This window comes from Homo sapiens, chromosome 13 (assembly GCF_000001405.40).
Source record: "Homo sapiens chromosome 13, GRCh38.p14 Primary Assembly".
NCBI lineage: Eukaryota > Metazoa > Chordata > Mammalia > Primates > Hominidae > Homo > Homo sapiens.
In genome coordinates this window covers 67,251,404-67,277,116 of record NC_000013.11, presented here as the reverse complement: position 1 = coordinate 67,277,116, position 25,713 = coordinate 67,251,404, and the positions used below count along the sequence as shown (strand labels likewise).

The following is a 25,713-nucleotide window of genomic DNA, read 5'->3' as shown; positions in this document are numbered from 1 at the left end:
TACTTTTTGAAAAGGAAACAAAGACAATAAACTATTGATTTCAAGATACTTAATTGAGCCCAAGTATTTACATTTGCTCCCTTTAGGTATAATAGAAATTATCAAGTCAATGTAACAAATTTTACAGCAGAGTTAGAAAAAAAAGAATCAGTGCCATCAATAGAACAAAATTTGAATTAATTTTTGTAGTAGAGGAACCAAATATAATTGGATTAAGGAAAAAGCCAATTAGATTTACACATCACTTGACTGCACGTATCAAAAGAGAACAAACAGAAGCAAGTGGACTTTTCCTCTTTTCCAAAAACATCACTAGTTTGAATTTGAGAGGAGTCAATATAACATGTAAGCATATGCCTGTGCGTGTATCTTTGTGTGTGTGTGTGTGTGTCTCTGTGTGTGCGTGTGTGTCTATGTGTGTGTGTGCATACATACCTGTTTGTGAATTTTGTAGGTGGTAGGTATTAAAGAAGTCTGGAAACTTCACCAGGACCAAAATTGGTTGTGACTTACATTATTACACTTGGTGACTCCAATGGACAGTCCAAGATGGAGACTATACTACAAAATGTCAGGGAAGCAGTTCCCCAATTAAATCCTGGAGTGTGGCTACCCCAATAATTAAAGAAGAAGAAAAACCTTTGGTAAGCAGTGAAATCTCCAGATCAGAATAGTCTCTATGTTAACTCCTTTCCTATGTCCTGCTCATTAATAACTGTATTTAGACCGAAAGACATTCTCACTACTCCATAGGCAGAAGATGAAAGAGTGTAGAGATTGTTGAGTGAGGCACAGAAATTAGATCAAAGCCTTGAGGAACCTATTAGTAACCTTCACTGAGCCCAGTCGGATACTGCATTCTTCCTCAGGGAATGTGCTGGAGTGAGCTTTATCCACCAGCTTCTATTATCAGAGGTTTCTGCCCCACCCTAGGAGTCATTGGGAGAATTCTTCAAGCATAGAAGAGTTCAGTGATGAGTAGCCAAAAAATTCACTATGTTACTAGCATCCTTGGTACCAAAAATCAAATCAAAACAAAATAAACCTCAAAATCCATCGTCCAAAGTCATAAATGTCACATTCTCTGAACCCATTGCAATAAAACTAGAAATTAACAACAAACAGCCAAACAAAATAAAACAACTAACCACTTAAAAAGTTAACAGCACTGCTTAATAAATCTGGAATTAAAAACTAATTCAAAAATCGAACTGCAGAAGTACTCTACGAGGGATCTACAGCAGCAATGGGAGCTAATACATCCTTCAAATCTCCAGGGAGGCACTGAGCTGTAAGTCAGCACCTAGTATGGAGGGCCCAAGTAAGAAGCAGAGCTGAAACACCAGAGGATTAACTGAAGGTTTCTAAAAGAAACAGCTGTGCACAATGTATGCCACCATCACACCACTCTATACACACACGCATGCACCTGCACACAGAGCTCAATTTCTGGCCAAAAGATAAGGAGTTCTTCTCTAAAGAAGCTGAAATACTAACAAAATGAAAGCACAGGTTTTTAATAGAGTGTTGCAGCCTCAGAGTAAAACCCCCTCTGTTCTCGGGATTTGAGAATCCTTATCTGATAGCCCATCTGTTCACCCTAAAGTGAAGAACTCCAGTGATCTCTAACGTTCCCCTCCACACTGAGGTCTCTGCAAACTTCCCAGTCAGGGAAGGTGAGAAATCATTCATATATACATCAGAAGAAGAAGCCGCCCATACTACCTTCTCAGTGCTTAATTATTAAAACACACAGATAATCAGAGATTACCAGATAGGTATTTTTAGAAAACTAGTGGTGGTAAAGGTAACAACCAAGATCAAAACAAAAGCTGATTTCTAGAGAAATCTGTAATTTAAAAGAGGGTATTAAAAATATAAAATTGGTATATCTAAGGAGATTAAGGAAAAGTTACATCTTTCTTAAAACTTTTATTTTTAAGTGACATGTAATAATTGTACACATTTATGGGGTATAGTGTAATGTTTCAATACATGTTACGATGTATAATTATCAAATCAAGGTAATTGGGACATCCATCCCTTCAAACTTTTATCATTTGTGTTAGGAACATTCAAAATCTTCTCTTCCAGCTACTTGAAAATATACAATAAATTACTGTGAACTATAGTCACACTATAGTACTACAGAACTCTAGAACTTATTTCTCCTATTAAGCTGTGATTTTGTGTTGTGTAACTAACCTCTTCCTATTCCTCCTCTCCCCTACCCTTCCCAGCCTCTGGAAATCACTATTCTACTCTCTACTTCTATGAGCTCAACTTTTTTAGCTCACACATATGAGTGAAAATATGTAGCTTTTATCTTTCTGTGACTTACTTATTTCACTTAACATAATGTCCTCTGGGATCATCCATGTGGCCATGAATGAAAGGATTTCATTCTTTTTTATGGCTGAATAGTATTCCATTGTGTATGTATACCAGATTTTCTTTATACATTCATCTGTTGATGGACAGAAAGCTGCATCTTTAACACAAAAATAAGACACCAAGAGGGAGAAAGGGGAAAGATCAGAGAACAAACCAACCAACCATATGAAAATATGGGCTTTGTATGTAAAACATTATATATTTGTTATTTCATTCATTCAACAATGATGTATGAAATGTCTGCTATGGGCCAGTGAGTCAGGCATTTTCTCCTCATGCTGTCCTACATTTTGAAAGTTGTTAGCAAAAGACCATTCCAAAATTTAAGGCTTGAAATGCTACTATCACGAAGAGATGAAAAAAAATCCAAAATACTCAATAATGTACGAAAGATAAAAATCAAAATTTTACCTGAGAGAAGCTGAGCACTAGAGGGTGTAGACAGGGCACAATCTTGAGGCAAAATGGTAGAAATAAAATAAAGAAGGATACTGGATACTAAAGAAACTTACGTAGGCCAAGTAGCTTGTGAGCTGGCTGCGAGGGATTAGTTTGAGGTGTCAGCAAGCCTGTTTCACCACACCTGGGGAGGGTCTGCTAACTATGTCACCCCAGCCTCTGTCCCAGGTGTGCTGAAACAGAACCTTCCCTTTAGGGATAAGGCCCTAGCAAAAAACTCGGCTCCAATCAGGAGCTGAGGAAAGGAAGAGAGAGTGGGTGGGTGGGCAGACGCACAAGCACTCAAAATGTACACCTGGAGGAGTAAGAGGAAATTCAGCTCCTGGAAAGTGAGTTTTCTGGACCTCCGGGGAGCCTCAGACTTGGACGCTCTCTGTGTTGTGGGTAGGCTCTTCTGTCTCTCCCCTACCTCTTCCGTTCTCTCTTAGAGTATTAGTTTCTCAAAATTTGAAATGCAAACTCTACAAAAGAAGGACCTGATTGATGTAATTTCAGATCACTCACCTTGCTTCTCTGACCCTCAGTCTCTCTGTTAACACGGAGATACTAATAGCTATCATGTGGTGCTATTGTAAATATTTACTAACATGGCAATAGGAAGAATGCATGCATACTGCTTTAGTGCATACTGAGAGCTCACTAGAGGAGTTATTAATGCTGGTGAATTTTTAGCTCCTACTGACACATATTATAGCCATTTGTATTTTCCTCTACAAATATTAATCACATTACCTCTTTCCTAAAAATATTTAAAGATACTATAATCAGTACAAATGCTACAGGTACTGTTTTTATTAATATTACACGTAGGTCTCTAGTCAGTTATTGATGTGGAAAAAATTTCTAGGACAAAACACTTAACACGCCATCCTAACTAAGAAATTTTTTTTAAATCAGTAAGAGAAATTGTAAGACAATGGTTGACAACATTTGGATTGTACAAAAAGCACCAGAAAATTTTGTTAAAGAATGCAGATTCCTCTCTCAGAGTTTCTGAATTGGGCCTTCAAGTGATTCATGCAGAACCTACAGTTCCCTAATTCTGTACTTGGGCAATCATTCCTTGCATATGAATTGTTGAGAAATTAAAATATCTTTGTCTGTCTCTGAGTCAGCTATTTTGGGTTGAGCCATTTATTACATCTTAAACTATTAATAGAGTGTAATATCCCCATCTTTACTCTTACTTTAATTCAGAAGGAAGAGAGTTCTGCTGTAGGGAAGTCAATTAAACCACTCATTACTATAAATATGATGAAGGTAGAAAATTTTATATTACCATAACTCCGGTAAGGTATTTGCCGGCAGATTTAAGAGAAAGCTTAGCAGAATATTTATGTTGCATCCAATCTCACAGGTGTAAACTGTGAGTAAATCTGCAGTTGGGGTATTTGATTAGTGCTAGTTCTCTGGTGCGATGGCTCAATACACAAAGACGGGCTTGAATAAATTGAGATGGAATAAGGGGTTGAATGTAGTCAGCTGCCATTTCACATTCTTGTTTAGGGATCTATAAAAGCAATCATTTATTTTAAATTCCAGTTGGTTGTTTTGTTATCCAAATGTCATTAGTTAATTTTTGCTTATTCAATAAATAACTACTGAGCACCTACCATGTGTCAAGGAACATGCATGTGTAAGAGGATGGTCTATTTTATTCTTTCTTTCACAAAGGCTTTTATCGAAAACTTGAAGTTCAATTTTTTCATAATCTAAGAGAATAACATTGTTTTGTGAAGGTAAAACTCAGTAGAACTATTTTCATTTGAAACCTATTTCAAATTTTCTCTGCACATTTGTCCCCAGGGAAAAGTGAGTAGGCTGGTTCTTGGGTTTTTCATTGATGAACCTCAGTCAATTACACACAGATCATCAATTCATCAGCACATAGAGCCACACAAATGACCTCATACAAATCTATATTTAGATTTGCTTATCAAAAGATTCACGCTGTTTTAAAGCCTCAGTGTTCCTTTAGTTCTTCACAGGTATCTTATAGCAGGCTCCAGGAAAAATAAAGTCTCCTCAAACATGTCCATTATAATTACATACCAAAAGAAAAATAACATTACGGAAGCCTTTCACCTAGTAAAAGTATTTCTTTCCTCTTTATTTTTTTAAACTATGTCTGGAATTAAGATTTAACTATGGCAGAATGTGATACTTACTAAGTCAATACCACGTAATATATTTAGTAAAATTATATGATTGGTAAGCTTGTTCTGCTAATACATTTGAAAGAATTTAGCATTCAGATTTCAAAACATTATTCATACTAGTTTAAATATAAAATATATGGGCATTTCTTTTAAAAATTCAGTGCTGTGCCTCTCTGTCAGAAATATTTTACCATTATTTCTGTAGGAAAATCAGATTTGATTTATATCATTTTGACTTAAGATACCATTTATGGTTCTGTAACCCACCTTATGTGTCAAGACTACTTCTTACCTCTCCCCCCACTTTTTTGTGTAAATCCAACTTGACATTTTTTTCCCAAGGATATCAATGTTACAAGAACTATATCATCCAAGAAAAAAAAAAAACAGAAAGGAAATGTTGAAATGACCTGAAAAGATGACAATGACTGTCTGAAAACAGTGAGGTGCAAGAAATCAAGCTGATAAAAGGAAATAAAACAGATGTATATTGATAGTAATCTGTTAATGGGAAAATAAATAAGTCCAAGGAAGATTTAGGAGAGACAATGGGAAACAGACCATCCAGAGAGAAAGCTATTTTAATGACAAGTTGATTCTGGTAATTAGAAATTCTGATACTGAAAAAAAGCCATCAGATATAAACAAGGAAATGATGGCAGCTTGAGAGCTATGTGGACCCTAAAATGTCACTTTCTTGATTATACAATATTCTAAATAACCACCCTATTTCCCAGAACCTAGGATTAAAATGAGAAAGGAATTACAGAAAGAGTTAATGTAAAGAATGCAAAAAATTTGGATACCCAAATGGGTGAGAACTTTTCCAAAAATAGAAATATCCCAAACCAAGAGAAAAGAGGATGAAAGAGCAAAATGAAAATACTGTAATAGGTTTAGCGCTTTAGAGAGCTGTACATTTTTCAACCTTTTTCATCTGACCCGACATCCACCAAATAAGAGAAGTGAGGATAATATAATCTTCATTATCCACGAGAAGGCTTAGGCTCAAAGAGGCTACCATTTTTCAGACTGTCTGTTTTTCTCTGCTACACTCATAACTGCCAGCATCTCTTGTCTTATTACTTTCCTCTGACAGTAAGTATCATAATGATATGATGATGATATATTCCCTGAGATCTCCTATGCTTTCCTTCCAGTAGCAGGTCCTAAGTTTTCTACTGACACATGGGGGTGCAGAAGGTTCCTAGACAACAGTTACATGCCTTGTTGTCTCTGAGCTGCTTTCTCTCTGCACATCACATTCCCTTTCTTCTAAATTTTGAGCTGGAAGAGTTTTGTTGTGGTTGTTGTTGTTTTCACTTAACTTTTATTGGGGGACTGAGACCACCAATAAATTATTCTCTCCCGCTTATTTCTAAGCTAATTGAGAGATGTGAAATTGTGGTGTTCAAGATGAATATGTTGTCACCAGCAGACATGTTGGAGAAAGCAGTTCAAGGTGACCCTGAATCCACCTAGTCCACAGTTTTGGCAAAACCCACTGGAGGATAAATGTGAGTCTGTAGAGCTGAAGCATTTACATAACCCATTGTCTCTCTCTGGCCCTGGATAGGGAGGAAAGGAAAGAACAACCTTCCACTTAGGAGCTTTACTAAATTGGTACACCCAATTGAATGAAAGGATTAAAATAGGAAGATAGGAATGTTTCACTGATTGATATCCTTTTACATCAAGAATGGGATTATTTTCAGCTGTGAAAGAATCCAAATAATGGAAGCTAAAACATGACAGAAGCTTAAATTTTTGCTATATCCTTTGTGTAGTATGGGATTATATGGCAGCTCAAGGATCATGAGGGATCCAATCTTTTTTAAACTTGAATCCTCCTTTTGGTATCCACATTCCACGTTGTGATTCAAGAGCACTCCAGCTTCAGCCACTGCATCCACCAGCCAGCAGAAATGAGGACAGGGGAAGGAAGATTATGCACCCTTCCTTCAAGGACACCTACCTACAATCACACTCAACAATTCATTCCACAGCACATTGGTCAAAACTAAATCATTTCCAATACCTACTTGCAAAAAGACTTGAAAATGTAATCTTTTATCCTATGTGTTTGTGTTCCAAGCCAAAATTGGAATCTCTAATACTAAGAAAAAGAAAGAAAGAATGTATAATGGGGACAGGCAGTATTTTTTTTTTTTTTTTTTTTTTTTTTTGAGACAAAGTTTCGCCCTTTGTTGTCCAGGCTGGAGGACAGTGGTGCAATCTCAGCTCACTGTAACCTCTGCCTCCCAGGTTCAAGCGATTCTCCTGTCTCAGCCTCCCGAGTAGCTGGTATTACAGGTGCCTGCCACCATGACCAGCTGATTTTTGTATTTTTAGTAGAGACAAGCTTTCACTATGTTGGCCTGGCTGGTCTTGAACTCCTGACCTCAGGTGATCCGCCCACCTGGGCCTCCCAAAGTGCTGGGATTACAGGCGTGAGCCACCATGCCCAGCCATACGGCCAGTAATTTCTACTCCACTCACCAATTTCTTACACACCGATGTGCTTTTGGAGGAGTAGAGTAACATTCACATATTTAATCAATGGTTTTCTTGCTGTGGTCAATGATTTTCCAACTACCTGATATAAGTTTTTACCCTTTCCTAGTTTGATTAAAGTTAGCATTTTTTATTTGCTTGTTTGTTTGTTTCTGCTGCTTTTCTTTTTATTTCTTTGCTTGTTTGTTTCATTAGATGTGGCAACAGGAATGTTTTGACCCTGTTATTATCTTGTTTATCTTGTCTTTGTCAGCTTTCTTTGATTTAGATTACTGTGTACCCTCAGGGTACTTTCTAGTTTTTCGACTATGTGAAATCTTCTGTCAGCCTATATTTTTAAGAAAAGATGTACATATATAATAAATAGACTCATACCTACTCTCTTATATTATCATTTCAGCTGTGTTGTCAGTTATAGAAAAAGAACATAATATTTTTATATTTGTCAATTGATTTGTAATTGAACTTTAAAATGTAAGTGTCTTTTTGACCAGGCACAATGGCTCATGTCTGTAATCCCAGCACTTTGGGAGGCCGAGGTGGGCGGATCACCTGAGGTCAGGAGTTCCAGACTAGCCTGGCCAACACAGTGAAATCCCATCTCTACTAAAAATACAAACATTAGCCAGGCTTGGTGGCAAGTGCCTGTAATCCCAGCCACTTGGGAGGCTGAGGCAGGAGAATCACTTGAACCCGGGAGGTGGAGGTTGCAGTGAGCCGAGGTCGCTCCATTGCACTCCAGCCTGGGTGACAGAGCAAGAAGACTCTGTCTCAAAAAATAAAATAAAATAAAAATATATGTGTTTTTTTACTCTTACTGAATTAAAAGCTCTGTGTGACTCATTTGTGTATTTTTCTTTCTTTTTTTGACCACTTTATTGAAGTATAATTCATATACAAAATGCTGCACATATTTAATACGTGTAATTTGGTGAGTTTTGAGATAAGTACATACCCATGAAACTGTCAACACAATCTATGCCATATACCTCTCCATCACCTCTAAAAGCTTCCTTCTGCCCTCTTACTTATTACCATTGTGTATGCAATAAGAACATTCAATCTAAGTCTACCTCCTTAGCAAATTTTTAAGTACACAATACAGTATTGTTAACTATAGTCGCTATGCTGTACAGTGGATCTCTAGGAATTATTCATCTTGTGTAACACTATATGTCCTTTGCCTAATACCTTCCTCTTTCTCCCTTCTCCACGTCCCTAACATTATACTCTCTACTTCCATGAGTCTCACCATTTCAGGATCATAAGTAGTATCATATAGTATCTTTCCTTCTGTGCTGGCTAATTTCACTTAGCATAAAATACTTCAGGATCACTGATGTCATCACAAATGACATGATTTTCTCTTTTCTTAAGGTTGAATCATATTCCATCGTATGTATATGCCACATTTTCTTTGTCTGTTCATCTACAGATGGACATTAAGCTTGCTTCTGTGTCCTCACTATTGTGAATAATGCTGCAGTGAGTATGGGAGTGCAGATATCTCTTCAAAATTCTGATTTTAAATCCTCTGGATATATACCAAAGAGTGGGATTGCTGAATCATGTAGTAGTTCTGTTTTTATTTTTTTTAAGATTCTCCTACTGCTTTCCCTAGTGGCTGCATCAACATATGTTCCCACCAACAATATACAAGAGTTCCCCTTTTCTCATATTTTCACAAATGCTTGTTTTCTTTTGTAGCTTTATTTTGTTTTGATAATAGCCATCCTAACAAGTATAATGTGATATAGCTCTATACTTTTAATTTGCATTTCCCTGATGATTAGAAGTGTCGAGTACTGCCTTTCCGCGCTACCTACAGAAGGGTCCATACAGTGTTGTTCTGGATTCCTATCGTAACTTAAAGGGAAACTATCACAATGTCTGGAGCCCTTGATGTCCTGCAAATGAAGGAGGATGATGTCCTTACGTTCCTTGCAGCAGGAACCCACTTAGGTGGCACCAATCTTGACTTCCAGATGGAACAGTACATCTATAAAAGGAAAAGTGATGGCATCTACATCATAAATCTGAAGAGGACCTGGGAGAAGCTTCCGCTGGCAGCTCATGCCATTGTTGCCATTGAAAACCCTGTAGATGTCAGTGTCATATCCTCCAGGAATACTGGCCAGAGGGCCATGCTGAAGTTTGCTGCTGCCACTGGAGCAAACTCCAATTGCTGGCCACTTCATTCCTGGAAGCTTCACTAACCAGATCCAGGCAGCCTTCCAGGAGCCATGGCTTCTTGTGGTTACTGACCCCAGGGCTGACCGCCAGCCTCTCACAGAGGCATCTTATGTTAACCTACCTACCATTGCTCTGTGTAACACAGATTCTCCCCTGCGCTATGTGGACATTGACATCCCATGCAACAACAAGGGAGCTCACTCAGTGGGTTTAATGTGGTGGATGCTGGCTCGGGAAATTCTGCACATGTGTGGCACCATTTCCCATGAACACCCATGGAGGTCATGCCTGATCTCTACTTCTACAGAGATCCTGAAGAGATTGAAAAAGAAGAGCAGGCTGTTGCTGAAAAGGCTGTGACTGAGGAGGAATTTCAGGGTGAATGTACTGCTCCAGCTCCTGAGTTCACTGCTACTTAGCCTGAGATTGCAGACTGGTCTGAAAGCGTGCAGGTGACCTCTGTGCCTACTGAAGATTGGAGTGCTCAGCCTGCCACGGAAGACCGCTCTGCAGCTCCCACTGCTCAGGCCACTGAATGGGTAGGAGCAACCACTGAAAGGTCTTAAGCTGTTGTTCTTGCACAGGCTCTTAAGCAACATGGAAATAAATAAGGTTGATGGAAAATAAACAACAGTTTCAAAAAAAAAAGAAATGTTGAGCACCTTTACAAATACCTATTGGTCATTTGCGTGTCTTCCTTGGAGAAATATTTGTTTAGTTCCTTCACCCATTTTTTAATTGGGTTATTTGTTATTGAGTCATAGGGATTCCTTATACACGCAAATATTAACCTCTTATCAGACACGGTTTGCAAATATTTTCTGCCATTTCATAGGTTGTGTTTTTATTGTGTTGAATGCTTTCTTTGCTGTACAGAAGATATTTGTTTGAAATCCCACTTTTGTTGACTTTGCTTTTGGTGTTGAATCTGAAAAATCATTGCCAAGGCCAGGGTCAAGAAGCTTTTTTTCTAACTTTTAATTCTAGGAGTTTTACAGTTTCAAGTCTTATGCATAAATCTTTAATCCATGTTGAGTTATTCTTTGTGTGTGGCATAAGGGTCCAATTTCATTTTATTTTTGCATGTGGATATCCAGTTTTTCCAATGCCACTTGTTGAAAAAGCTATCCTTTTCCCAGTTTATATTTTTGGCTACCTTGTTGAAGATCAGTTAACTATTTATGCATGAGTTTTTCTGGGCTCTCTTTTCTGTTCCATTTGCCTATATGTCTGTTTTTATGCTCATATCATAATGTTTTGATTACTGGAGCTTTGTAATATGTTTGGAAAGGAGTAAGCATGATGCCTCTAGTTTTGTCCTTCTTGCTTAAAATTGCTTTGGCTATTTGGGGTCTTTTATCTATCCATATGAATGTTAAGATTATTTTCTGTTAAAAAAAAGCCACTGGAATTTTAATAAAGATCACATTGAGTCTGCAGATTGCTTTGAGTATTATAGTTTAACAATAATCATTTTTCCAATCCATGAACACAGGATATCTCTCCATTTATTTATGTCTCCTTTAATTTGTTTCAGTGTTATATAGTTCTTGGTGTACAAGTCTTTCACCTTCTTAAGTTTATTCCTAAGTATTTTATTCTTTTTTGATGCTATTGTAAATAAGATTGCTTTCTTAATTTCCTCTTTGGACAATCTGTTGTTAGTTTATAGAAATGCAAATTATTTTCTATATTGATTTACATATTTTTCTTAAAATGGTCATGATTACATAAATATATGACATAAACAAAGGTTTGTGAAAATTTTTTAAAAAGAATAAGCAAAAAGATGGAAAAGAAGGTTCAGGTAAAAAGGTAGACAGAGAAGACAATGGTGACATGGGTGAATTATTTATGCTCAATTTCATAAAATTAGAAATACATGGAACATAGGTAAGAGCAGATTCGAATACTTGGGAATCAATTAAAAAAATTATGCTGTGTTAATTTTAGAGTATATTACACATCAATTCATCATTATTCAATACATATAATTGAAAACATTACTAAACACATAAAGTGGGCAGAAAAACAAAAAGAAAACATTTTTATTAACTGGATTTCATAGCTGCCATACATTAGTTGATACATAAAATAATTGAATATTGCCCTTGTATGCTTTTTTTTTTTAAATGTAAGTAAAACAACTCTCATGCTTTCATGAAAAGAACAAACCAAATGCTACTGAAAATAATATCTTGTATCTTAATAATAAATGACAAACCTGGACAACACTACTAGCAGATACACATTATTTAGGACATTCGTGGTTTAATGAACTCTAAGGCTCATGACTGACATTGCATGTGGTTGTTCTTAGCAAACTAAGAATACTTATAATCAAAATATTGATATCTCAAAACAAATATTTTATTAATGCTGTCATGACTCTTTAGTATTTGTTTTTCTCCATGAAACTGAGGATACTATGTAATAAAAAGACCTCTGCTTTTTGTGGTGTATGAGCATGAAAAGGCTTTAAAAAGATAAGAGATTTGCGCTCTGTACTTAGCTGAATTTTTCAACATAGTTAAGGATAACTCTGAGAAATAGCATAGAGAAAGTTAATAATTTCTTTGGGAAGTGATATCAGGCAAATGAGTTTTGCTCAAACAATCATATCCACCTTTTTATTCTAAACTAATAAATTATCAGTTTTTCTTCATGTAAACGTAATTGCCCATTGTATGTATTGGATACCTATGTTATCAATTATTACCATCATATCACATTTGAGTGCTACTTGACACAGGGTAGCCTAGATGCCATCCTTAGTGTCCTGAGTCTTTGCTACTAAATAGAAATAACATAGTCCATGAAGGCATAATAGATAAGACTGACACTATTAATTAAACTATACCTAGTTTTTGTGTTTGTATATTTAAAAGCTATATATATGTGTGTGTATATATATTATGTATCATAATATATAGTATATTATATATCATATATATTTATCATATATATTATATATACACATGCACACACACACACATATATACATGCTACATAGTGTTATACATGCATTTTGTTTTTCTATACCCAGTACCATACCTACAATAGTTTTCAGAGTCAATGAAATAAGATAGAGTATCTGGACACACTTTTAATTCTATTTAGGCATGATAGAATTGCTTTGAACCTAGAATTAGGTTAGCTTTTTGAGAATTATGCAGTGCTAGATAGGATGCAAGCAGAGCGATTGTGAGGCTGATGGAAGATACATGGTACAGCCATCGGTGTCTTACTGGAAGCTCAGATTGGTGGCATAATTGTTCTCTTGGACTGAAGGCTGTATAAAACTTGTTATCTAGATCATGGAAAACATGAAAAAACATATTTGTAAAGACTAGTTGCAGAAGTATATTAAGGTACAGTAGAAATGGAGGCCACATACTTTAAGGTTCATCTAATATTAGACAATGTTAACAACATGTTTTCTATGAGCAAGCTCAGTATCCAGAGTTCACGTAGCCATGGAAGGCAGAGCTCAACATTATAGCATTGTGGGGTAGAACAAAGCTTCAGCCAGAGAACAGACTCAAGACTGATATTGGAGTGAAACTAGAATTCTAAGACACCACGAGTTCTGATTACAAAGTTACCACTGTGAGAGAAGTAGAAAACTGACCTGGGAGCAAACGGATTCCTACATGTTCATTCATGAGGTTTTAATGTAGGAGCAGGTGTGAGCCAAGAAGGCTAAAGTGTTCATCAGTAACACTGTCAGTCAAGGAATCAGTCCTAGAGCATCAATAGTTCTAGGGGGGGGGAGGCTGAGGGAAGCATGTCCAGAGAAAATAAGTTGAAAAGCTAAAGGGTGGGAGAAGATGATCAATTCTTGTCGTTTTCTTTTGCTTAAACTAAGGATGACCAACATAATAAAAGTTGAAATGAGAAATGAAGGAAGTTTTCTAATTTAACAGAAATGGTATAGGGAAATATGCAGAACAATTATACTAAACATAGGATTTTTTTAGACCAAGAATAAACAATTTAAAGTGGAGTGACCAAAATGAAATTATGATATACTTTGTAATTCTTACAGAATTAGAGAGGATATGCTAATCATCATGTAGGGACCACTGTATGTGAGATGTAAAAGAAGACACTGATATGAATATGTCAGGAAATTTAGGGCTGTTTCCAACATGTAAATTGCAATTAGAGGCAAGACTAATAAAGATTTTGTATAAGTGATATAGGAATAGTCTGTTTATAAGTAACGGCTGGCTTAGAACTATTTAGGAACTATAGGTTTTAATTTTCATTACAACTTAGCAATCTAAATATCTTTTTCTACCCCAATAAGAAGTTAATCTTCTATATTTATCACTAATATCCAGCCCTGCTCATCTTCTTTAGCTATATTCAGGCTTTCTGAGCTGAGGAAATCTCAGCTTTGTAGTCATTAATGATCATTATCCTTAAATGAAAATGTACTGGAAATAACTTTGATATCATTCTTAGTGGGTAATTTAAGCAATAGAATGGGAATATTAATGTTGAAAAAGTACAGTGTAATAGCCACGAAGCCTGCTGAAGAGAATACCAAGCTATAAGTATCACCAGGCAAGAAGGTGTTCTTGTCTGATACATCACATTAGACTGCTACTATTCCACTGCCCTAGCCAGAGTGGGGAGGGAGCAAAGAAATGGGGAGAGAAAAAGAAGGAGGTTAAAAAGGCCTCATCCCTGCCTTCCAAAGCAAAGAGAAAGAATGTCAACCAACACAACGTAAGACTAATGCGATCTTACTTCCTGATGACTTAAAATACTCTCATTCTGAGATTATCAGATTAAATTACTTGCTACTAATTCATTCTGGACCTCTCTATTTTAATCTGACAATTTAATATAACTTTTACTCTGTCTTGAGGAAACATTCATGAACGTAAAGTCCCACTTGGCAGATACTACCTTTATACTCTTCAGTGGAAACAGAACACTCAGGAGCACTGTACCTTTGTAGCACCACTGAGACTTTGTCTCAACAGTAGATAGGACTCAGCAAGGCTAGGCTTAAGCAGCAGTAGAAGCAACAACACTCTGGTGAGCCCTGAATACAAGAAGAAGAATAAGCCACTCGTCATTCTTCCACTTAGACTATACAGCTTCTACTGAGGTAATGCCACATGCCAATTCAAGCTACCCCCTCAGTCACAGCCACAGACATTCCACTGATTTCATTCAGCCTTCTGGTGTGGCATTTAATATCCATAGGCTGATTCCATCTATATCTCTCATAGCCACAGTTCCTGAAGATAGCATATTCTACTTACCCATTGCTTTCATGACTTTATTAATACATAGCTTTCTATTCCTTCTACCATATTGTACAATCCAACTTCGTTGCATTTCCAAAAAAGTTCACTGTATTTATAGTCTATTTGTAGAAACTTCTATTTGTTTCCACAGACTGAAACTTGTATTTCTCTCCATGATTGGACACTGGTCCTTCTCTCACCTCACATTATTGTCCATGAAGTCTGGAGGCAGAGCCATGACCCATTCTTCTAACCATGTTTTTCAAAGCTTGATCATTTTTTTCTCCCTCATATAAAACACTCTCCTTTTCTTAAATGTATACTCTCTTCCTCTTCTTTATCATTAATATATCTTGATGGGTCATTTGCTCCTATTCATTCAGGAGTTCAATTGAACTAAAGTCTCCTTCATTGTTATCCCAACTCCTGCCATTAGACTGAAAATATGCATGTCTATTTAGATATCCATCAATCTCCCATTTTTAAAATTTTTCTCCATTGAATGACCTCTACTGCCACTCTATTTCAGCATCTCACTCTTAAGAGTACATCTTAAACTTCTAAAAGAAAAAAAAAGAATTCATTTTCCTAATTTATCACAACTGTCTATTCTTCTATAACATCATTTATTAAATACAATGCCTGTTATAGAGAGAACAGTTTAAAATATTTGATTTTTTTCAATGGGGATAAAAAGATGAAAATCTTCTAGAACTTTGAAAGGAATATAAATGTCAGAGTAAAGTTTTTGAAGTTGTAGAGAGAAGATGTAAGAAAGATAATTTTTTGAAAGTTTTAATAGAGAAGAACAAAATTCCAAAAGTCTATTTATAAAGTAGAATAAAACAGAAATATCACTGAGTATTAATCAAGAAAAACACAAAAGACATAATTAAAGGGAGATGTGATTATACATAAAAATTAAATGTATGAAATATATGAAGGTCATAAAACATATCAATAAATCAAAATCTTAGACAAGTGAGCAATTTCTTGAATACTGCTTAACAAAACTGAGAAAGTTAAAGAGAAACTGAAATGACTATAATCATTATTGAAATACTATCAGTAGCTGAAAATTTATATCCTGAACACAAAACACACACACTAGACCCCGATAGCTTGCATTGCTCCTTATCATGCTGTCGATTTTCAAGCTTTTAAATAAGATATTTTTTGAAATAAAATTTTAAGATTACATATTATTCCTTAAATTGTTTTTATTTTTCAACAAAAATGCTCCTGTGGGCCAGGCATGGTAGCTCACCCCTGTAATCCCTGCATTTTGGGAGACCAAGGCTGGCAGATCACCTGAGGTCAGGAGTTTGAGACCAGCCTGGCCAACATGGCAAAACCCTGTCTCTACTAAAAATACAAAAATTAGCCGGGCATGGTGGTGGGTGCCTGTAATCCCAGCTACTCAGGAAGCTGAGGCAGGAGAATTGCTTGAACCAGAGAGGCGGAGGTTGCAGTGAGCCAAGATCGCACTATTGCACTCTAGCCTGGGTGACAGAGCGAGACTCTGTCTCAAGAAAAAAAAAAAAATGCTCCTGTGAAAACAAAAGTCTTCCTTCTTCACAAATGAAGAAACAGAAAGTTAGGATGAGGAATCATAGAGACAAGGTAGTGGCAATCTCCCTAAGTATTCCTGTTACCATAGCTGCAAAACAAACTATACTACAACTCAGGGACTTAACACAACATTTGTTTTGCTCATGAATCTGCTACCGAGGAGGAACATCAGAGAATTTATAGACATGTTTTAAAGACATCAGAGTAGCCAAAGTCTGGTGTTTCTAAAAGACATGAATGGAGAGAAGTTAAGATGGAGACTTATAATTAAGACTACCCCAAAAAGAATTACCTAAAATGACTGGGAAACTGAAAGAGCTTCACGCTCAGTGAAAGCGTAAACTAAGAAAGCTCAACTGAGAGAGGGAGAGAACATACATGAATCTGTCTTGGCCAGGACTCTTCGACAAAAACAGGCCAACTTTCTGTTCAAGAATTCAGGATCGCTGATCCAGCCCTAACTTGAGTTTGCAGTTTGACGCTAGTAAACCTTACATCATAGTCTGAAACTGTGAAATACATACTGAAAAACAGCTACATGAATGAAAGTAAGAAGTGGCCCCCAAATTTTCCAGAGAATACTAGTAAGAAAAAAAAGATACCCATCTCATTTTATAAGATTAATATTACAATGATAAAGCAAAAGCAATGTACCTAGGTAAGGAAACATATTCTTCAATCTCCCTACAGACAGTGGTAGACATGGGACTGTTTTGTCCAAATCCACATTGGTGGTTTAGGATTCTGAGAGGACTTCTTAACAGAGGGCTGACTCAATTTCACATGCCCTTTTCACTTTTTCTCTTGTTTTACTTCCTGCCTATGTCAGAGGCAGTTACGGCAGAGCAACTGCATCTCGAATAGGAGCTGGGTAAAATGAGCCTGAAACCTACTGGGTTGGATTCCTACATGGTTAAGGTATTCTAAGTCAAAGGATGAGATAGGAGGTCAGCACAAAATACAGTTCATAAAGAGCTTGTTGATAAAACAGTTTGCAGTAAAGAAGCCAGACAAATCCCACCAAAACCAAGAGGGCAACGAGAGTGACCTCTGGTCGTCCTCACTGCTACACTCCCACCAGCACCATGACAGGTTACTAATGTCATGGCAATGTCAGGAAGTTACCCTGTATGCCCTAAAAAGGTGGGGGGGAGGGCATGAATAATCCACCCCCTGTTTAGCATATTAAGAAAACAACAACAACAACATAGTAATGGGCAACCAGCGGCCCTTGGGGCTGCTCTGTCTATGGAGTAGCCATTCTTCTATTCCTTTACTTTCCTAATAAACTTGCTTTCCCTTTCCTCTGTGGACTCACCCTGAATCCTTTCTTGCACGAGATCCAAGAACGCTCTCTTGTGGCCTGGATCGAGACCCCTTCCTGGTAACACCTAGACTCCAGAAAGTGATTATGTTATAACTAGAACTCTTGAAGTCATTTTTGGAGACTGAAGATAGGATTTATAATTATTTGCCTACTTTAAAATCTCCCATTTCATCTTTCTAAACAACATAGATTTACTGTCATCTCTCCTCTTCCTCTTCCCTTTCTTTTTTTCTTGTGTTCAACACTTGTAGAAGGGGAAAAAATACAACAAGATTGCAAAAGTGATTTATTTTCGCCATATAATAAGAAACCCAGTACTATGGCAGTGGCCTTAAGATGTCTTTGATGCTTCAGGCACCATCTACCTATGGGGCCTGCAATCTTTGAAATGTGACTTTTATCCTCAATTGCAACATGGCATCTGCACTCCTATGCATCACAAAGACATTCCACAAGATAAAAGTGGAAAGGGGAAGTAAAGGGAATGGCAGCTAAATCTGTCTCTTTTAATCCAAGAATACACAGCTCTCCTGGGTGCCTTGCCCAACATTGTTCTACTTACATCTTATTGGCCAGAAATGTGTCATTAGGCCACACCTAGATGGGCAGCAGCTGGGGAAATCAAGTGGTTAGCTGGGAACAACACTAAACCACACAGAACTGGGTTTCAGTTAGTAAAAATGAAAGGCAGAATGAGTAGTTAGGGACAGCCAGCACTGTACAGTATATATCTTCTTTCCTCGACATTCCCATCTCTATTTGTTTAATTTTATGTAGCAAGCTAAAATGACTGGAATATTTAATATTTAGTCCAAATTAGACAAATGGATATAATATTCAAGACAAAAAAAAATCATGGAATTTCATTAATGGTTTTAATTATTGTTACATACATACATACATACATTAATGGTTTTAATCATTGTTATATACATTTGGCAAATCTTTTAAATAAATTATATTGGTGTGCATGGCAGCATTCAGATTGTTATATTTATTTAGCTTTAAATTAGCATTCTGCTTCAATTTATTAAAAGAAAACTGGGATAACTTTTTCTAACTTCCCAGTGAAATATTTTGAATATTATTATATTCCTAACCCAAATGTCCTTATTGTATTTCCCTCAGGCATTTAGCCATTTTGTTACATCTTACAGCAGCAATAATTCTCTATTCCATAAAAAATGGAATTTTACAAGCAGGACAAACGGCTCCATAAATTAACAGGAATACCTGCCTAGCTGAAACAACACATTTCTTTCTTATTCATACTTTTGTGATGTATTTGTCTTGAAATTACACTCTCGTTTTTCTGAAATTTACAGCTTCTTTTTATGGGTTGAAAATCCAGTGAAAAATTGGTTGACACCTAGAATATCAAGAAGAAAGGAATTTATAAGAAAAATGCATATTTCAGATATGAATGTATTCTCAAAACATGTATCTCATCCTAAAATGTTCCTGAATGTATTTAGTAGAGTAAGATTTTTCTCCCAACACACTTGAATAATAGTATGTGTGTAAATTCCCACATAGTTGAGAATCTTTCATTGTGTTTTTAGATGAAATAACCTTATTGATAATATATTCCTTCTATTTAAGAGTGTGTCTACTAGTATTAATCCAGTTCTATACATGACTATTGATGAAGGAAACTAATTTGTAAAAATAATAGCATAGCAATAACAGCTTGTACTTTGCATTTCAGAGAACTTACATATTTTATACAAATTTTTTCTTACATGTTACAAAAGAGACCCTGTATCAGAACAAGTGAGCATTTTCATATTTTTATTTTTCAATTATGCAGTCATTGATGGAGTAAGGAATGGAGCCCAAATGCATTCCATAAGCCAGACACCTCAATAAGTCATGCAAAGACTGAAAATAACGTTTGTAGAAGTATGACTTTCTAACAATTCTTCTCCCCCTTATAAAAGTGCCTATTAAATATCAAGAAAAAGAATAAAAATCCTAACATTACTAAATTACTTCAAAACATATGTGGCTTAAGAATGTTGACTTCAAGATTATGAAATATTTCTTTTAGGATACTCAGAGAAAAATCTCTTGACAAAAGCCTGTATTAATTTATATTTTATAGATGTATAATTAATATCTCTAGACTTGTATAGTTTCTCTGCAAGTGCATCAGACTTCATTCATAAATATGCATTAAGCAACTACTATATGCTGGGATCCATACTTCTTGGAAAAAAGTTTCTCAGTTTATAAACTTTCATAAAGGTTTGTAGGAGGAAAAACTTAAAGCTAAAATTAGTTATGCATTTATCTTATATGACTCTTTAAAACTAAAACACTCAATATTTTATTTTTATTTCTATTTCTATTCAGATTAAATACAGAGCAAGGATTGCAGAGAACACTTAGAAAGCCATTCCAGTATTGGAGAATTATGAGTTCTCTACATTCGACAAGTATTACCAAAAGTCTACTGGCAACATCTGGACAATTAAGCAGATACAAGAATAAAAAAGACATATGCTTTGTCCTCAAGCACTTAACATTTAGCAGGCAAAAACATAACTATAGTCCAAATGGGAGGTGAAATTTGTTTCTTACAGGTGCTCAGTGGAAAAGAGAGAAGGAATGTTATCTTTGGGATATCCAAACAGTGTTTTCCATATTTAATCTTCATGACAGACTTGCAAAAGTAGACATTCTTTTTTCCATTTTATTGCTAAATAAATGTGAAGAAATTAAATTTGCAGTCTCTGTCAGCCTGTCTCAGAGATCTTGTGAATCACAGTAATCCCACAACCCCTCTACCCCTCCATGACCTGCATTAATCGTAAAGTATTTGCAAGAAATAGACACTTGGTGGGTTACGTCACTTCAATTTTGGAGCTATCTGTTGCTGTAACACAAGCTAGGATATCCTCAATCAAAGTCTTTCTGAGTAAAAGAGCAATAAACGTAAATGTTTTAGTGAGTATAACAAGAATGTAAAATGGTGACAAATTTATTTTCGCTAGAGTATACCACCTGTGTAGGGTGGTAATGGGAGATTAGATTGTAAAGGGCTGGTTGGGACTGTTACGGAAGTCCTTTAATGCCAGGTAGAAAGCAATTATTCTCAATTTAGTAGGTGTAATTCAGTATTTAAATAGCAGGCTCATTCTGATCACATGAAGATTAATCCCCAGCGAGTAAAGCATAGAATAAAAATGATTTCTAATCTAAAGAATCGATTATACTACATGTTAAAGTTGTTCTCTGTATAAAATAGATATAAACAATCCTTCTCTAAAATGGTTTTGAGATAAGCTAAAAACAAGCATTTTGGAATAATAACAGTTAAATATGTTAGCTATATTTAGTGGAAAACCAATAGAGGGCATTGACATTGTTAATATAATTTTTCTACTAAGTCAGACATAGCAGCTATTTAACTAACAGATACTTGAAACCTTTTTTTGGTGGAGATTTAATTGTTTTCCCTTAAAGTATCGCTAGGGTTATTGTCATTGTTCAAAAAATGCCTTCTCATAGTTTGAATCTCATCAGCAGTGACTGGTTACTATCTGTAGTGTAATATATATTAAAGGTTGGCTATCGCTGAACGTAGAGCCACATATAGGGGTGGATACTGGGCTGGGAGAAACTGATACTACTGCAAGCAATGTGGAGCCTGGAAGTAAAAACAGACAGAAATGGTGTCCAGTAGTTTGTAGCAATCACAAATATCAGTGCAGCCAAAGCGAGTGTCCAAACCACAGTAGAAAATATGGATGAGGGCATTTTGAAACTCACAGAATGATAGTGCGCACTCAGGAAGTCTGAAGAAAGGTAGAAGATCCCTTTACCACACCTCCCCTCCCCGTCTCCATGTGCTAGCATTATTAACAGAATGATAATCTGTGGGTGTTGCAAGAAAAAGAGAAAATAAAGTTTCTTCCAGGTCTATGGAGATGCTTTAAAAGTGACCAGAAGACGACCGTGGAAAGAAGACAGTAGCAGAGCTAGTGAAAGTAGAATGCGATGTAATGTCTAACATGCATTTCCCTCAGCCCTAGCATCTCTCCTGCACAAATAATTGAAATATACATACTGTATCTTTGCAGATTTGAACTTCCCGATATGCTGTACACTATTTGAAGACCTCTGTAATAATACATGATCAAGAAGCATTATTGTTGCCAGGCGTGGTGATTCACAACTATAATCCTGATAGTTTGGGAGGCTAAGGTGGATCACTTGAGTCCAGAAGTTCAAGACCAGCCTGGGCAACACAGCGAGACCTCATCTCTACAAAATATATATAATATATTAGATGGGCTTTGTGGTGCACACCTGTCATCTCAGCTACTTGGGAAGCTAAGGCAGGAGGATCACTTGAGCTCAGGAGTTCAAGGTCACAGTAAGCTATGATTGCACCATTTTACTCCAGCCTGGGTGACAGAGAGAGACCCTGTCTCAACAAACAAACGAACAAACAAACAAAAACATTGTTGTTATTGTTGTAATAGTCTAAATTACAAAGGGTATCCATATTTTTTTGGTACATCTGATTTAGTTTGAAATTAGGAAGATGAGCCATGAAATTGATTTCTTTTTTTGTTTGTTTGTTTCATTTGTACATTTGACTAAATTTGATCCTAATCAAATCAAAAGATATTAATTGATTTTGGAATCAAAATACATTAATCCATTTTCCCAGAATAGCAGATCTTTATTCAAATGCGCTTTGGAATTGCTTTATAATCAACTCCTCTCCTGTAGCTTCATAACATAACCAGGATATTAAAGTTTCTAAAATGTCCCACAGTAACAAAACATCTTTAACTTGATCTGAGTTAAATAAATGTTTATCCTCAGGGGAAGATTTTCTTCATTGTTTCTTTGAAAACTACCTAGTAACATCCCTTTAATAGTAATTTGAGAAGTGCTAGACCAGAATGCTTTAGCTAGTGTTTCTCAGACTTGGCACTATGGACACATTGGGCCTGTGTGTGTTTTATACTGCAGCATAACGAATCAAATTTTGTGACTTTAAACAACACCTGTTTCTTAGCTCATAGCTCAAGATGGTGTGGCCAGGATCTTTGCTCTGGCTTGGACTGCATTCTCCTCTAGTGGTTCAAGGTGCTCTCTGAGCCTATTCCTGTTATGGGCAGAATTCAGTTTTTTGTTGTTGTGAAATTGAAGTCTCTGTTTCCTTGCTGGATGTCAGCCAATGACTTCTCTTGGCTCCTAGAGGCTCCTCTCAGATCCCTGATCAATGGCTCCTTAAATCTCTACAACAACCTTCCTTGTGTTGAATCCCTCCCATGCTCTGATTCTCTCTCATTTCCACTTTGGTGACAATCAGGAGAAAACTATCCTCTTTTAAAGGGCTCATACCTGTTTATCTCCCTACCTTAAACTCAACTGTGCCACAACAATCATAGGCATGAAATCTCATTATATTCACAGTTCAGGGATTATGCAGCCTATGAACTCTGGGAGGGGGATGTAAATCTTCAGAGGCACCTTAGAATCCTGCCTACTATGGAACCAGATAATTCTTCGCCATAGGTGCCATTTCATGCATTGTAGGATATTTAGCAGCGTCTCTTGCCCTCTACCCACTAGATAAGTTGTCACAATCAAAAATGTCTTTGGAACGCATCAAATGTCCCTTGAGGCAAAAATTTCTCCAGGTTAAGGGTAATTATTTGGTTAAAATCCTATCCTATTATCATAAAACTCATTACAAAAATATATATATTCATAACCTTGTCTTTTAAAAAGTTCAGTAAGATGTAGACTGCATTAATTTATTAATATAATTGTATTAATAACTTGAGCTGATCATTAAGCATTCATTCCAACATTAGTATAATATACATTTTTACTCACATGGAACTACAGCATTGGTTTAGCTTTTCTACTTGAAGAGCAACTGTGATAAACTTCAGTTTTGTTTTTTTTTAAGTGGATAGGAGGCAGAGAATTGGGAGTTCTGGAACTTCAAAGAAATTGGACTCTACTTAAAATATTGAGATACTTCATTAATACAAATTATATTTTAGACCCACACCTGCCTTCAAGTCCTAGCTTCCCTTCAATTTGTTAGGGGTTTTCCACCTATGGAATTTTCTCTATCCTCTTCAGATTCATTTAGATCTTCAAAACGAAGCATTTTCAGGGTTTTAAGTCCCAAAGTTTTACAACTAACTCTATAAAGTAGAAGTATCTTTTATTAGTTCTAAAAAGTATCTTTTGTGAGTTTCTGGGGACAGCCTCTTCAAACATTCTTGGATTACTGAAAATTTTCATGTCCGTCCTCTCATAATATTTTTGAGTTTATGGATTTTATAACATTTCTTCTTCATTTTTATTTCTCCAGGTTGAAGAATCCTAATTTATTTTTTAAAATCATTACTTATATAGAAATGCTTTCACCTCCATAATTCATGAGACTTCAAGCTTTTGCGATGAGAGGACTCTTTGCTTTTTTGAAGCCTTGGGATCCCTTGTGTGGAGGGACAATCAGTGATCTGATGCTGGCGGGGCACACACTGACGAGCTGTGTGACTTCACACAACTGAAAGGTGGATTCTGATCATCTTTACCCTAACCTAGGAATTACATCACATGCTTTTTAGAATTGCTTTAAAAAGTGCAAAGTATAATGCACAAGGGCCTAATATAGTGTTTAGCTCATAGAAGTATTTAGTAATCTATTTATTCATTTAAGAAATACATTTTGAAAGCTGGTTTGTGGTAATGCTAACTATTTAGGAGTTGAAAACACACGCACAAACGCTCATGCACACACACACACACACACACACACACACATGCTAGGCAGGGCCCTGGTCCTCACTGCTCTAGTAATTTTCATACGCTTATGAAGAGAAGGGAGAGCAGGACTAAGGTGCTGATTATGATGTTATCACTCCATTTGTTCAAACTTTAACAAGAACTACTAGTAAGCAATAGATTAGTCATTTATATCCTGTGATTATCTTCTGTGGGGGACTTTATAAAATACAGACATCTAAGCTAAGTCCACACTGCAGGATACTCTAATACATTAGGTTTCTAGTGGGGGATACTATCTGAATTTTCAAAAAGGGCCACAGGGAAGTTTGCTCCATAATCAAAGTCCAGAAGTTATGGCCTTGTGGGGAGTGATTTAGAGATGCTTAGAGCATCATCTATTGACCAGTTGGGGGCTGCTGCTTTAATAATTTTATTGCATTGTTATGGATTTTCTCAATGTAGTAATTTTTTGCCTGAAGTGCAGTTTCCAGAAATGCATATCTCAAGTCTGAGGGTATTTTATACAAGTGTAGAATAATATTGTAGTTTTGCGTTCAAGTCTCTCCATCTAGGATTCTCAAATATGCCAGCATATTGTGTTATTTTATTGTGATATATTTAAAACAAAGCACATAATGACACTTTTATCCTGGAATAATAGTGACTTATAAAGAATCAAATTAAAACTGAAGTCATTTTCTTATATCTAGTACAGGTATTTATGTTATCTACTGTGAAGTTCATACACGTCTCTTCCCTCCATATAATCTCTCATGATAATCTTTAGATTTTGCTACTCATTCTGTCATTTCATTCTTCTGAAGATTTAATGACACCTAAAAATTGAGCAGGCTTACTAATCACTTTAGAAATCTTATTATTTCTAATAATAAGATAAGAAATAATAATCTTATTATTAAGTAAATGATAATGGTCTCATAAGCAATTTTTAGAAACTCTTTTGTTCACAGCTTTCAATCCATCTATTTAATTCTCATCTGTGTTCATTGACTTTAGTTTAATTTTGTATTCATAACCAATTGTTTCCTTATTTCCC

The 25,713-nt window shown here is 36.1% G+C and overlaps 1 long non-coding RNA gene and 1 pseudogene across 1 annotated transcript in view, besides 1 other annotated feature; both read left to right on the top strand.

Annotated features, from left to right (window-relative positions):
* Positions 1–20,523, top strand: part of LOC105370246 (uncharacterized) — a 69,539-nt gene extending 49,016 nt beyond the window's left edge. Inside the window, exon 3 of the long non-coding RNA XR_002957498.1 lies at positions 20,241–20,523. This is a non-coding gene — a long non-coding RNA (uncharacterized LOC105370246). The remainder of the gene's footprint in view (positions 1–20,240) is intronic.
* Positions 9,337–10,362, top strand: RPSAP53 (ribosomal protein SA pseudogene 53; annotated as a pseudogene).
* Positions 17,965–18,729: an enhancer, noted in NCBI's record as "OCT4-NANOG-H3K4me1 hESC enhancer chr13:67832520-67833284 (GRCh37/hg19 assembly coordinates)". NCBI's record gives its function as "activates a minimal SCP1, AML or CMV promoter by ChIP-STARR-seq in primed H9 embryonic stem cells {active_cell/tissue: H9 hESC(primed)}" and the evidence as "EXISTENCE:reporter gene assay evidence [ECO:0000049][PMID:30033119]".
* Positions 20,524–25,713: the final 5,190 nt, after the last annotated feature.